This window comes from Homo sapiens, chromosome 3 (genome assembly GCF_000001405.40).
Source record: "Homo sapiens chromosome 3, GRCh38.p14 Primary Assembly".
Taxonomy (NCBI): Eukaryota; Metazoa; Chordata; class Mammalia; order Primates; family Hominidae; genus Homo; species Homo sapiens.
The window spans coordinates 130,342,590-130,357,611 of NC_000003.12; the positions used below are offsets into that span (position 1 = coordinate 130,342,590).

The window sequence follows — 15,022 nt, forward strand, 5'->3', positions numbered from 1 at the left end:
TGGTCAAACTTGGGTCAAGGGCCATCCCCAAAGAACTGTGGCTAGGGAGATGGGACCCTGGCAAAACAGCATTTGTCTTTGGATTGTAGAGATAGAATAAATGTTTCCTAGGAGGGGGAAGGGAATGTAATTTCAGGAATTCAAAAAAAAAAGCAGATGGATATCCAGTACAGACATTGCTTTCTGGTTCCAATTGCTGTTGGAGGTGGAGGGTTTCTCCTCATGAGACTTGGCTCCCCAGTCTTGCAGAGTTGAACTTAGGACTTTTTCAGACCCACCTCTCATGTCACCCTCTCATTAAGGCTTTATTGACTCTACGACCCCCAACCATCCACACACTGTTGGCTTCACCTTCCACTGTGATACTGTAACATGAAGTAATAAGCCATGATTACAGTGTGCTGCCAACTGTTGTGTTTTCCAGAAGACTATCAGAAAAACCTGTTGATCCAACTTACTGCAGTAAAGGTAAACACAACATTGACAGTCTTAGTAGTGTCTCAGAAAGGAACCCAGGGAGGATATTTATAGGGTTTAGGTCCTAGACTGGGTGAATTTCAGGTGGGTTTTGCAAGACGGAAAACTCTTTGGGTTTGGCAGAGTTCGTGACATGATAGCTTTAAATTGTTGGACACGGGGAGATGAAGGAGTTGAAACAAGTCTTCTAGAGCAAGCTGGTTGATATAGATAAGTAAGCCACTTTGATTAGTCACAGCCTTGTCCATTAGGAGCAAGTATTTCTTAAAGCAAGTAGCTAAGTCATTTTTGCTTATTTTCGGCATGGCTTAAACATAGAGAAAGTAAAGTATACTATATTCCAATATTATTTAGTACACAGAGAGGAAAGTATTTGGCTTCAGTTATCGATAATGCATTTTAATTGTTAACTTTTTATCTGTTGGTATATAGGCATGACCAAAGGACATTGAGTCACATGTAAGAAAAATGCTATTTTATCTTTTAATAGTTCTGATTGCATCAATGAGAAAGTTAATCATATTCCATTTAAATCATCTCACATCCAAAATCATCTTGCCTATTTCTGATAGTACGGTTTTCACATTTGCAGACATACCATCAATATTTCCCAGTGGGAATCAACGAGTGCAGGGTAGAGCAGAATTTGCTATCTTTTACTCTGATGTTATCTTCTTATTTAAAACAGCTGCAGAAATACAGATTATGAAGGTTGGGTTAATAAAAGGCAAATATAACTAATGATGAAGCCTGAAAAAAAATTTAATGTCTTTTCCACACTTTTGAAATTCTGGATTACTTTTCTTTTATTCAATATCTTTTTATTTTCTAGAGAAAATGGAAAGTGAAACCCAAGTCAGATAAAGTAAGTTCAATTGTGTTCTATTCTGTTAGAAAATTGAAAAGTTGGCACTTTTAGTGCCTGAATTCCTTCAGATATTAAACTCCAAACTTCTACTTTCTGAAGTAAATTAAGTTAATATATCCTTAATAGAATAAATGCAATTCTAAATAGTGAATAAATTTCACATTATGATTTATTTTGGGAAAACCTTGTTTCAATTTTATAAGCAGAAGAAAGGAAAGGAAATGTTAAAATCTGTGGAAAAGTTGTAGATTCCTGGAGCCACTTTTATTTCATGATTGTGAAAGTTAAATCACAAATATATTGCAAGTAAAAAAATTTCTACAATAATACTTTCTAGAGAAGTTTCTAAACAACAAAAGAACCCCCAAAACACAAACCCACAACTTCCTTTTGGCTTCAGTACTATTTGGATATTACCCTAATTGTGAAGGCAAAACCCCACCCTTCTCCTGAAGTATAAAGTAGGCCTTCTTTCTCCCTTGGGGCATTACTCTTGGTTGGGGAAGAACATCTCAATTAATAAATCTTTACACACTGAGGGTATGTGGACATCATAGTAGCAAAATTTCGGCCTGGGCCAGGCATGAATGTGAAATAGATGTATATTTTGTCCCCCCAGACTCTAGCTTCTTGATATTCCAGCCCATAGATTCTCTCTGTGCTTCACTCTGGTGACCAATGGAACATTTTCCGTTAAAACCTGGACAAATCTGAGACTCACTGATACCGAAGGGCAAGTCTTGGCATTCAAATCCAGGATTTCAGGATGTTCTGTGCAGAACACCCCATAACCCTGACTATTCCAAGTGAATTCAAAATAGATAAAATACACTTTTTTTTTAGAAAAACCATTTTCAACTTACATCAGTTTTTTCTTATTAATGAAAAACAACAAAAAAAACAAACAGTTTTTGGTTTACACATATTTGTGTTCTCTTTGAAAAAAAAAAATTTAATAATAAAAGGAGAAAATCCTGAAAGTCCTCATTACACTTCCCTCTCTTCATTCTTCCAACCCACTCTTTCTAACACATATTTAGAAACTTTCTAGTTAACTTCAGAAGCAATCTCAGAATCGGGTTCTTGCTGAGCAAGGGTGAGCTCCCATGTCTTATGTTTCCTCTTGACATTTTAATAAACTTTCATCAGTGTAAGTAATTGTAACATATCTCTTCACAGACAGCCTGAAGAAGCTAGCAGGCTGAAGCAATGGATTGATTGAACTTAACCACTCAAGCTAGGAGTACATTTACTGGCAGGTGTTATACAGATATGTAATATAAAATCTCAACCTGAGTACACGTCCATGCAAACCAACAAAAAATAAGCCATGCATGTAAGAATAGTCTATGCTTTCCAAGTTCTTCACTATGATCCATGTACTAAAAATCACAACTTCATTGTGTTGCCTGCTCCATTTCCCCATCCTGCCCTTTCTAGAAGTTGCTGGATAAAACTCCTGCTGCCTCTAGCATCAGGGGTGCGTTACTTTTTCTCTTGTAGGGCTTCCCCCAGGACTTTGCTCCTCCTTGGGCATTTTCGTTGGGAGGCTGCCTCTGAGAAATTGGGGGACTTGGAGCCAAATGGCGATTCCTCTGTCTAAGTAGTAGAAGTGACCGCAGCTCGGCTGCTAGTAAAGATTGCCCTTGGTTTCTGAGAAATTCTGACTCCCTAAGTTCATTTGGCAGCCGGCGGCTTCTCTGAAACAAAGCCAGCAAACAGCTGGAGCGTCTCTGGACACTCACATTAAAACTTGTGAAGAGTTAAAAGCCCCAGGGAAGAGCCAGGCCAAGGGCACGGGTCAGCGCCGGCTTAAAAGACCCTCTCAGGGCACGAGGCGTTCGCTGCGGGAATCCACCTGCAGCTGTGCGGCGCGGACCAGGGCGTGCGGCGCGGACCAGGGCTTCCGGCGCGCGCTCTATCCAACTGCGCCGCGGGCGCCCGAGAGGCGCGCGTTTACTGCGCTCAGGAGCTCGGTGCAGCCTCTTCTGGAGAGTTGGGGGCGGTTTCCAGGGTCCGGAGTGTCCCCTGACCCCGGGAAAGCTGGGTAAGTATGCGGTGCGGGGACTTGGGGCCTGAGGCAGGCGGGGGAGGAAACCTCGAGTAGACAGGTGGATGTGAGAAGGATTCTCCTTTCTGGTGATTTGCACCTGTTGACGCCCCCAAATCTGAGCTCTAAGGAATTTTACAGATGGTTAAGACAGGTTCTGAAAGGTAGACTCAGAATTCGAAAGGACCTTAGAGCAGTGCTATCCGAAGTGTGATGCAAGGACTAATAGCATCGCCTTGCCCTTGAAACTTGTTAGAAATGCAAATTCCTGGACCCCACAAAACCCTGTTGAACCAGAATCTCTGGGAATGGGGATAAGGAATGTGTATTTTAACAATCCTCCACGGGATTCTGATGCAGCTAAAGTTTGAGAACCATTGCCTTAGAAGTCACTTAGTCCTACATTTGAGCCCCTAGCCCCAATGCAGGAACCCCCAAATAAACAGCAATGGGTGTGTAGGTAATGAGTCAAAGGCATTAGATACTGGGGTGTATTCAGTTATAAAAATAACTTCTAAACACTCTTGGTTTGTGGGAATTCTATTCTGTCCCAAACGAAACTGTGATCTTTGAGATTTCCTAAGAACAGCACTCAGAGCTTCAACAACTATTTCTGAGTTTGTACTGTGTGCAAGTCTCCAGGTAAGGTTCTTTCAAAGTGCTGGAGGGAATTTTGTACTCTCAGGATCCCCAAGCTGGTAGCGTGTTATTTCTCTTACCAGGATCTTCATAAGTTGATGTAGTGCTTCATACATCACATTTATTTTGTTTTTTGGTATTCAACTGCTTGTTCTGAAATTAATCATTGTTAACTCAGGGTGTCAGGTTAGGTATCTTGGAAGATATATATTTACTTTGTGAATTCTGAACAAAAATCCTTAAGAAAAAATTCACACTGCAAGATTTTTTTCCATTTTTTCTATTTAAGTTTACAGTGCTACAATTTACCAATAGAATAAGTAGGAATCCTGAGATTTCATATGAATTAAAGTAGAGAAGATAATTCCCAAGTTTTTAAATAACTCCTTCAGATGAGGCAGGCTCTTCATCACTGCTGAGAACCTGAGCCATTAATCTTTGATGACGAATGAATGGTTTTGTGTTGTTATTATTATTCTCCTTTCAGTGGCTTAACTTAAAATATGAAATCTAAATCCACTGCTGACTTACTTGGAGACTCTGGAGCAAATTTATTTGCAGATATTTCTCAGTTTTCCCTTTTCTTCAATGGGTGGGTGCAGGATGTAAGGTTTTGATAGGGAACCTGCTAGCATTATCTTAAAGTAGTTCCCCGGAGGACCCTGTGTGGTTATGATATTGAACTATTATTAATATGTTAAAGCATAGAAAACATTCAATACAATGATTTTATATTTAATTATTTTATATATATATATTAAGTTAAAACATCTAAAAGGCTTTTTCACAGATTTCAAAAACTAATCACCTCTCTGTTTGAAAAGAACTTTGGAAATGTCAGTAAAATTGGGAGCCATTGCTAGCAATGTTATGAGCCTGTGAAAATAAAGTTTGCCACTGTAAATATTTCCCATCTTGAATCATAGCTACATGCAGAAATTGTTCATAAGTATTCAATGAGCATATGCTTAGCATCCTTCTATAATGAAGTGTAAGGCTGACACATATGTCTTGTTTGCATTGTATTTCATGTTGTGATTTTCCTTCCTCAAGTTCAAATCATCTTCCAAAAAGGAAGAATTTTCAACCCCGGAGCATATACTCAGAATCCTCCAGCTCTGAGAGTGGAGGGCACAAATTCACTTGGAATGTGTACTTTTCTTGGTATTGCAGTTTGCTTTGATGATGCCCCTGTCAATCTTGTAGGATCTCAGATCCAGTACACACTGAGCAAGTGGAAAGTGCAAAGGAAGAGGAGTTGGGCACTGGGCAAAGTTGGGATCTAAGATAAAACGAGATGCATGCCTACTTTATGAGGAAGGGCTGACTGGTGGTGCATGTGGCAGTTGCAAACATTTTTGTTGCCCCATCAATCCCTGGTGCTTTATGATACTTCCCTAAATTCCTCTGGCCTATTCCCTAACATGCACACAACTCACTACCCACAACCATTGCCACTTGCCATTCTCCAAGGAACCATTCTTTTTTATTTTTAATTTTACTTTAAGTTCTGAGATACATGTGCTGAACATGCAGGTTTGTTACATAGGTATACATGTGCCATGGTGGTTTACTGCACCTATCAACCCATCATCTAGGTTTTAAGCCCCACATGCATTAGGCATTTGTCCTAATGCTCTCCCTTCCCTTTCCCCCAACTCCCTGACAGGCCCTGGTGTGTGATGTTCCCCTCCCTGTGTCCAGGTGTTCTCATTGTTCAACTCCCACTTATGAGTGACAACATGCGGTGTTTGGTTTTCTGTTCTTGTGTTAGTTTGCTGAGGATGATGGATTCCAGCTTTATCCATGTCCCTGCAAAGGACATAAACTCATTCTTTTTTATGGCTGCATAGTATTCCATGGTGTATATGTGCCACATTTTCTTTATCCAGTCTATCATTGATGGGCATTTGAGTTGGTTCCAAGTCTTTGCTATTTGTAAATAGTGCTTCAATAAACATGTGTGCATGTATCTTTATAGTAGAATGATTTATAATCCTTTGGATATGTACCCAGTAATGAGATCGCTGAGTCAATTGGTATTTCTGGTTCTAGATCCTTGAGGAATCGCCATACTGTCTTCCACAATGGTTGAACTAATTTATACTCCCACCAACAGTGTAAAAGTGTTCCTATTTCTCCACATCCTCTCCAGCATCTGTTGTTTCCTGACTTTTTAACAATTGCCATTCTAACTGGCGTGAGATGGTATCTCATTGTGGTTTTGATTTGCATTTCTCTAATGACCAGTGATGATGAGCTTTTTTTTATGTTTTTGGCCACATATCTTCTTTTGAGAAGTGTCTGTTCATATCCTTCACCCACTTTTTGATGGGGTTGTTTGTTTTTCTGTTGTGAATTTGTTTAAGTTCAAGGAACCATTCTTGTCCTGTATTCATGTTGCAGATTTCTAATTGCCTACCCAATATTCTAATACTCCCTATTTGAATTCTCATCCATCAAGCCACTCTTTGGGATGATACTGTGACTCAAGACTTGGTCTCTGAAAGGCCAATGTAACGTTCCACATTATTCGATTGTCCCAGGTGACACCTCAAACGTTCTCTCTCAAGATGAAATAAGTCACTTCGTTAATTAATTATTATTTTGGAAAATAATAAGAAACATGAAGAGAATGGAATAATGGAATTAGAGTTTCAGAAAGGCACCGTAGTGCAATGGAAGAACACCATCTTTGTAGAGACTGCAAGCCCTTGGGCAAGCTATGCTAACTCTTTGAGCCTTAGTTTCTTCATCTGTGGTATGGGTATAATTATAGCTAACTTATATAATTGAAGTGAGAATTAGAGATTATTATGTAAAATGCTTTGCACATAGTATGTATTAAATGTATGCTAGTAGTTATGATTATGTAATTTTGTAGCTAATCACCTAGGGCAGTCTTTTAACAATCAGAAAACACAAAAATTTAAGTAAATCATAATGTAATAATCTAGTGATACATAAAAACATTGCCTAAGAAGGGTCTTGCAGGACCTCTTTAATTCATAGATAACTAATTTATAATTTTCTTATATTTTAATCACCAATTATTTACATGTGAATATTGCTAAGTGCTTTAAATGTGTATTCTTGTGCATATGAAATATCTCTCTAGATTATATGAATTATGATTATATTCAGCTGCAAGTAATAGCAGACTCAAAAACAGTGGCTTAACCAAGTCATACGCTAATATATTCCTTATGTAAAATAAGTCCACAGGTAGGCAGTACATGGTTATTAGTAGCCCAGGCTTCTTTCTACCTTTCTATTCTACCTTCTTGGCATGGAACTCCTATCTGTAAGATTGTCTTATGGTCCCAAGATGGCAGTTGGAGCTCTAAATGTTATATCTGTATTTAGTGTAGTAAGAAGAAGGAATGGGGATAGTGCAAAGACACCTACTTTCCTGCTGGGTAATCCATCTTCCACATATATCTCATTGGCTAACCTTAGCTACAAAGAAGGTTTGGAGATGTATTTTCATAGCTGAGTACATTGCCTCATCAATCAACATAGGAGTTCTGTTAATATAGAAGGAGAGAATTGGGAGTATCAGAATGTTGGATAGGCAACTAGAATCTGCTACGTGGATGCAGGACAAGAATGGTTCTTTGCGGCACAAGACAAGGATACCCTCTCTCACCACTCCTATTCAACATAGTGTTGGAAGTTCTAGCCAGGGCAATCAGGCAAGAGAAAGAAATAAAAGGTATTCAATTAGGAAAAGAGGAAGTCAAATTGTCCCTGTTTGCAGATGAAATGATTGCATATTTAGAAAACCCCATTGTCTCAGCCCAAAATCTCCTTAAGCTGATAAGCAACTTCAGCAAAGTCTCAGGATACAAAATCAATGTGCAAAAATCACAAGCATTCCTATATGCCAATAACAGACAAACAGAGAGCCAAATCACAAGTGAACTCCCATTCACAATTTCTTCAAAGAGAATAAAATACCTAGGTATCCAACTTACAAGGGATGTGAAGGACCTCTTCAAGGAGAACTATAAACCACTGCTCAACAAAATAAAAGAGAACACAAACAAATGGAAGAACATTCCATGCTCATGGATAGGAAGAATCAATATTGTGAAAATGGCCATACTGCCCAAGGTAATTTATAGATTCTATGCCATCCCCATCAAGCTACCAATGACTTTCTTCATAGAATTGGAAAAAAAACTACTTTAAAGTTCATATGGAATCAAAAAAGCACCTGCATTGCCAAGACAATCTTAAGCAAAAAGAACTAAGCTGGAGGCATCACACTACCTGACTTCAAACTATACTACAAGGCTACAGTAACAAAAACAGCATGGTACTGGTACCAAAACAGAGATATAGACCAATGGAACAGAACAGAGTCCTCAGAAATAACACCACACATCGACAACCATCTGATCTTTGACAAACCTGACAAAAGCAAGAAATGGGGAAAGGATTCCCTATTTAATAAATGGTGCTGGGAAAACTGGCTAGCCATATGTAGAAAGCTGAAACTGGACCTGTTCCTTACACCTTATACAAAAATTAATTCAAGATGGATTAAAGATTTAAATGTTAGACCTGAAACCATAAGATCCCTAGAAGAAAACCTAGGCAATACCATTCAGGACATAGGCATGGGCAAGGACTTCTTGTCTAAAACACCAAAAGCAATGGCAACAAAAGCCAAAATAGACAAATGGGATCTAATTAAACTAAAGAGCCTCTGCACAGCAAAAGAAACTACCACCAGAGTGAACAGGCAACCTACAAAATGGGAGAGAATTTTTGCAATCTACCCATCTGATAAAGGGTTAATATCCAGAATCTACAAAGAACTTAAACAAATTTACAAGAAAAAAACCCCATCAAAAAGTGGGCAAAGTGTATGAACAGACACTTCTTAAAAGAAGACATTTATGCAGCCAACAGATATGTGAAAAGATGTTTGTCATCACTGGACATCAGATAAATGCAAATCAAAACCACAATGAGATACCATCTCACGCCAGTTAGAATGGTGATCATTAAAAAGTCAGGAAACAGCAGATGCTGGAAAGGATGTGGAGAAATAGGAACACTTTTACACTGTTGGTCAGAGTGTTTATTAGTTCAACCATTGTGGAAGACAGTATGGCAATTCCTCAAGGATCTAGAACTAGAAATACCATTTGACCCAGTGGTCTCTTTACTGGGTATATACCCAAAGGATTATAAATCATTCTACTATAAAGACACATGCACACGTATGTTTATTGTGGCACTATTCACAATAGCAAAGACTTGGAACCAACCCAAATGTCCATCAATGATAGACTGGATAAAGAAAATGTGGCACATATACACCATGGAATACTATGCAGCCATAAAAAAGGATGAGTTCATGTCCTTTGCAGGGACATGGATCAAGCTGGAATCCATCATCCTCAGCAAACTATCACAAGGACAGAAAACCAAACACCGCACGTTCTCACTCATAGGTGGGAATTGAACAATGAGAACACTTGGATACAGGGCGGGGAACATCACACACTGGGGCCTGTCAGCAGGTGTGGGGCTGGGGGAGGGATAGCATTAGGAGAAATACCTAATGTAAATGATGAGTTGATGGATACAGCAAACCACCATGGCACATGTATACCTGTGTAACAAACCTGCACATTGTGCACATGTACCCTAGAACTTAAGGTGTAAAAAAAAAAAGATTCGTTGGAAAATGGCAAGTGGCAATGTTTGTGGGTAGTAGGTAGTAGAGTGTGTGTGTTAGAGACTAACAGATGGTAGAGAGAAAGTGATAATAACAAGCTTATTGGCAACTGGATTCTTTGAGAAGTACTCTCGGTGTGAAATTAGAGTAATAATGATCTCTCTATCTAGATTTTAAAGCAGTTTACATAAATAATTATATTTCAACCCCACAGTAACCTTGAGAGTTTGTAAAATGGGTAGATGTATTTATTATCACTTCATTCATGATCAAGTTGAGGCTCAGAATGATAAACAGTTGCTCAAGGCCACATACCCAGTTAGTACAGAGCTACTGTAAACCTTAGCTCTTCTGACAACTAGTGCATCTCCTTAGTGGAGAGGGGGCAAGTTGTAGAAGAAATGAGATAATAAAGATAACCGTATATACTTAATTTTAACCATTGTGATATTATTTTCCAAAAATTATTTGGACAGAAGGAGATAACATAATCAAATTTTGCAAACAGCAGGGTGATGATTTAAGAGCCCATCTACCTTAGTTCAAATCAGCGTTTTACTACTTACTAGCTTTGTGAATTTGGGCAGGGTGCTTGATATCACTTTCTTCTGTGACATTAACTAAGAGTACTTGCCTCATATAGAAATTGTAAAGATAAAAAACAAAGTATAGAGACTGGCACATAATAAGAAACATGTAAGTGTTTGCTGTTCCAGATAGACTGTAAATAAGAGAATCAAGTGAAAATTATGAAACCTAATGTTAAGATAGCTGACTGCAAAATAAATCCAGACAAAATCAAAAGCTTTTTTATAAAGTAGCAATGACCAGTTAAAACTATAATGAGAGGAACATTTCTGTTCTCAATAGCAATAAACTACAAAATAGCCAAGGACATGAATGTGAAATATGTAGGAGCACTCCCTGTTGGACCTGTCTTTCCTCAACTTTACTCCTCCCACAAACACATATCCAAAGGCTACACAGAAAACCCAAAAGCACCAGTACGGGTCTGATGCGAAAATACTTCCACAAAGGAAAGAAGCATTTGTTACGTGCAAAACAAAGATCAAGAATTGTTTCAGTCAACAAAACTCCAAACTTGAGGCATTAGACAACACAGTTCTGTAAATCAAGAGCTGAAAGAAATGCAAGAGAGAATGAGAAGCAAAGCCAAGAAAGTCCAGAAGGAAAATAAAACTGTTACAAAACTAAAACCTAAATTAGAAGCAGCTAGATATATGTAAATCTTGTGAAAAATAGAGTTTTGATTTAGAGGATGGCTTTGGGAAAAAAATCACATAGAATGCAGACTACAAAGAAAAGAGAGAGAAGTGGTAAGAAAGTATAATAATAATGAAAAACAGACAACAGAAAAACAGCAAAGGGCTAAGTAAAATTTCTGAAAAAAAAAGAACAAAAGGAACTGAAAATAAATATAAAACATTTATTTCTTTGATCTCAAACTGTTAGTAATTTCAAGATGCACCGCCAATTTAAAAATTAATTTTGGAGGAATAGAAGAAAACCATAAAATATTAAATGAATATGTCACTTATATTTATAGTTGAAAAAGATTAAAATGTGAAAAAGACGCATCTTTTAATTAAAGAAATGTGGAATTAGATGAAAGCCTTCCCAAAGTAAAAGAACATCTGAATTCACAGATCAAAAGTCTCACCATGTTCTGGATAAGGGAAGAAAAGAAAGAGAGAAGTAGAGAAAGCAAGAAAAGCAAGCAAACAAGAAAGAAAAGAAAAGAACAAAAAAAGAAAAGAAGAAAGAGAAAGAAAGGGGAAGGAAGGAAGGAAAGAAGGAAGGAAGGAAGATTAGCATGATGATATTTAAGGATAAAGGATAAAATATCCAAGCAGGAAAGAAAAAATAAATTACACTAGCTGTATAAATTGTCTCAGCAACATCAGATTCCAGAAGAGAATGAAAGTGGGTTCCAATTAATATAAGAACCTTAGCGGGAAAAGGAAATGAATGGGACCCAAGATTTCTATAGCCACATTCTATATGTGGCTTGTGTTATATTTCTATTAAACAGCAGTGATTTAGATTGCTCTAGACAGCAAGTTGAAAAAATGTCAGATACATCATTGGGTATGCAAAACCCCACTACGTAGAACCCAATCCCTTCTTACTCAAAGTGTTTTCCGAGAACCAACATTCTCTAGGGGCTTATTAAAAATGCAGAACTCAGGGCTCACTCCAAAGCTGCTGAATCAGAGTCTACATTTTAATAAGATGCCCAGTTAATTCATACGCACGTTAAAGCTTGAGAAACACTTTCTTAATTAACCACTTCCTAAAAGAGTCACTTCCTAGAAGTACTACTTGAAGAGTCATCTAGCCCAGAGCTTCACAGCTGGTGTGCTTTGTAAGAACTATGATAGGCTGAGACATTGATCTCTTTAGCCTGGGACTCTGGGATGGAAGGCCATGGGCTAAGGACCTGAATAATATTGTAATTTCCTGCGTGTTCCATGATTTATAGCTGTGCTATCCAGTATGGTAGCCACTCACTGTATTGGCTACTGGCCATTTGAAATGTAGCTAGACTGAGTTGAGATGTGCCATAGAAGTAAAATACACAGCAGATTTTGAGGACTTAGTATTAATAAAGTAAAATATCTCATTAATAATTTTTATATTGGTTATACATAGAAATTGTAATACTTTAGATATATTGGGTTAAGTAAAATATATTATTTAATTAATTTCACCTTTTTTTTACTTTTGTTAATGTGCTACCAAAAAAATTAAAATTACATACACAGTTTGCATTGTGTTTCTATCCAATAGTGCTGATGTGGGTTGCTTTGTATGGCAAAAAGAAGAATCAAAATTAAAAACCTATAATAGATACAAACTGGGAGTGCACATTCTATTTAAATTTTAAAATAAACTTGAAATAACTGTGGTATTATAATCACAAAGCAAGAATTACACTTCTTGAAAGAAAAGCTATGATATAAAAATCCCTAAAATTTAAAAGATAATTTCATGATAATAGATTGAGAGATTCCTCTTGCCCCTATAAAACACAAACAAAAAATTAAAGAAGAGAAAGGAAAAGTAAGCAGACTAATTTTATCTTTCATAGGTGGAAGTTATCAATATTATTTTATTTCTAAAGTTGATGAATTTGGAAATAAAAGTTAAAACATTTTATTTACAAATTATTTTACCAGTTTACCCTAAGTGAAAATTAGAGAGAGATATATACACCTCTCAAATACTTAGGGTAAACTAGTAAAATTTTACACACACACACACACTTAGGGTAAACTAGTAAAATAAAAAATATATATACCCACACACATAAAGTTAATGATTAATGAAAGGGAAATAGAAAATGAATGGAAACGTGATAAGGCAAAATAAATTAAACAAAACAAATAGTAGTGGAAAGTAAAGAATTATGTATTTAAAAGAGATGACAGACGTAAGCCCAAACATATATTTTGTAATATAAAATAGAAAGAGTTTAAGTCCTTACTTTAAAAAAAAAGGAATCACAGATCTGATCAAAAAGCTGAATCCAGCCACACACTATCTACAATAGATACAACCAAAACAAAAGAGATTTGATAAGTTGCTTATAAAAGACATACTACCCAAGAGGAAGCAGGGTTTATGATGTTATATCAGAAAATGTTGAGGTCAATAAAAACTATATTAAATTGAGGTGTAGTGCATACTTTTTTCTGCCCTCCTCTTCCTTTTTTTGCATCTTCTTTTTTTCAACCAAGATTTATGAAGTTTTAACTATTGACCAGGTACCGACAGAAATTGAGGATACAACAGTGGGCCAAAGCAGACAGTGATGGCGCAAGCGATAATCAAAAGTCAGATAATCATGGTAAACAAGTTATGAATATGTTCCACATTGAAGAGATAACTGTCATAAACCTTATGAAATAACTAGCATGGTGTAGAAATGCATAAAGCAGAAACTGCAGGAAATAAGAGAATTGATGAAAATATAGTTGTAGGGGAAATGTTGAGACACTCATATTAGTCCTTGAGAGTTAAGATAGGCAAAAATAAATAAAGATGAACTAATAGACTAATAATGAACTCTATCATCAGGAGCAAATATTGTTTCTTTTCTAGCATTTATTAAGCATTTCAAAAACTGAGCGTTATATTAGGTCAGTACAAAAGTAATTGCGGTTTTGCCATTAAAAGTAAAAGTAATAGCAAAAACCTCAATTACTTTTGCACCGACCTAATATATACTAGGTTATATATAGGGGAAACTTTGACATATTCCAGAAAAGAGTACAGACTACATTCTCTAACCACAATGCATTAAAACCAAAAGTAACTAATAAAAGAGCTACATTCACACTGAAAAATAAAACAACTCCAATAAAACAACCAAATCAAAATGGAAAATCTCTTGATTTTCAATTGAAGAAATTGAAAATGCAGTCACTTGAAAAATTTCAAACCATAATTGAGGAATATCTGGCCTGTAGTAATGATGAGCAGGCTTGCATGTCAAAGCTGATGCTGTACTCAGGAAAATGCGTTGCCTCAAAAAGCTCTTATTACCACATAGGAAAGAATAGAAATGGATTAATCATTCAATTCAACAAGTTAGGGGTAAAGCAAAACAAACCTATGTAAAATAGAATGAAGTAAAAATAAACACAGAAAATTGAGAATTAAGACAAAGAATACCAAAAGAATTGATTAGTAAATGAAAAATGTCTTTTGGGAAAAACTCACAGTAAACAGTATAATTTACTAGTTACCATAATCCAGACAAAAAGGAAGAATGAAAACAAATGTATTCTCTATGAATGAGAAATTAGACATAACCCTAGAGAGTAGAAAAAAAGGGGGAATAATTTATTTGACTTTACAATAAACAATTTGAAACCAGGATGAAATGGAAAATGATAGGAGGGCACATGAATGATAACTGCAAAATCTAACTAAAGAAGCAACAGAAAATCTAAGTGGCTGGTAACCTGGAAGGAACTGAGAATTGCTGAAAGCTGACACTTTTGGCCTTGTCGGTATATGGGTAATTCCTTTCAAAACTCCCAATAACTGGCAATTGCTCTGTCACTTAAAATGTTTAGAACAAAGAGAAAGAAGAAAAGCTTCCAGATCATTTTTATGAATCCAACATGATTGATACCTGGCAAAGATAGCTCACACACACAAAAATAATAGGCATTCTCACCTTTGAACAATAATGCAAAATTCCCGAATCAAATATTAGCAAGTAAAATTCAACAGCACATAAAAGGAAATGTAGGATAATGAA

General features: G+C 36.7%; 1 protein-coding gene across 3 annotated transcripts in view; it reads left to right on the forward strand.

The window, feature by feature from the left end:
* COL6A5 (collagen type VI alpha 5 chain) overlaps window positions 3,083-15,022 on the forward strand; it is a 139,175-nt gene continuing 127,235 nt past the window's right edge. For all 3 annotated transcript variants that reach the window (NR_022012.3, NM_001278298.2, NM_153264.7), the window contains exon 1: window positions 3,083-3,392. The gene's annotated coding sequence lies outside the window, so the exon portion shown is untranslated. The remainder of the gene's footprint in view (window positions 3,393-15,022) is intronic.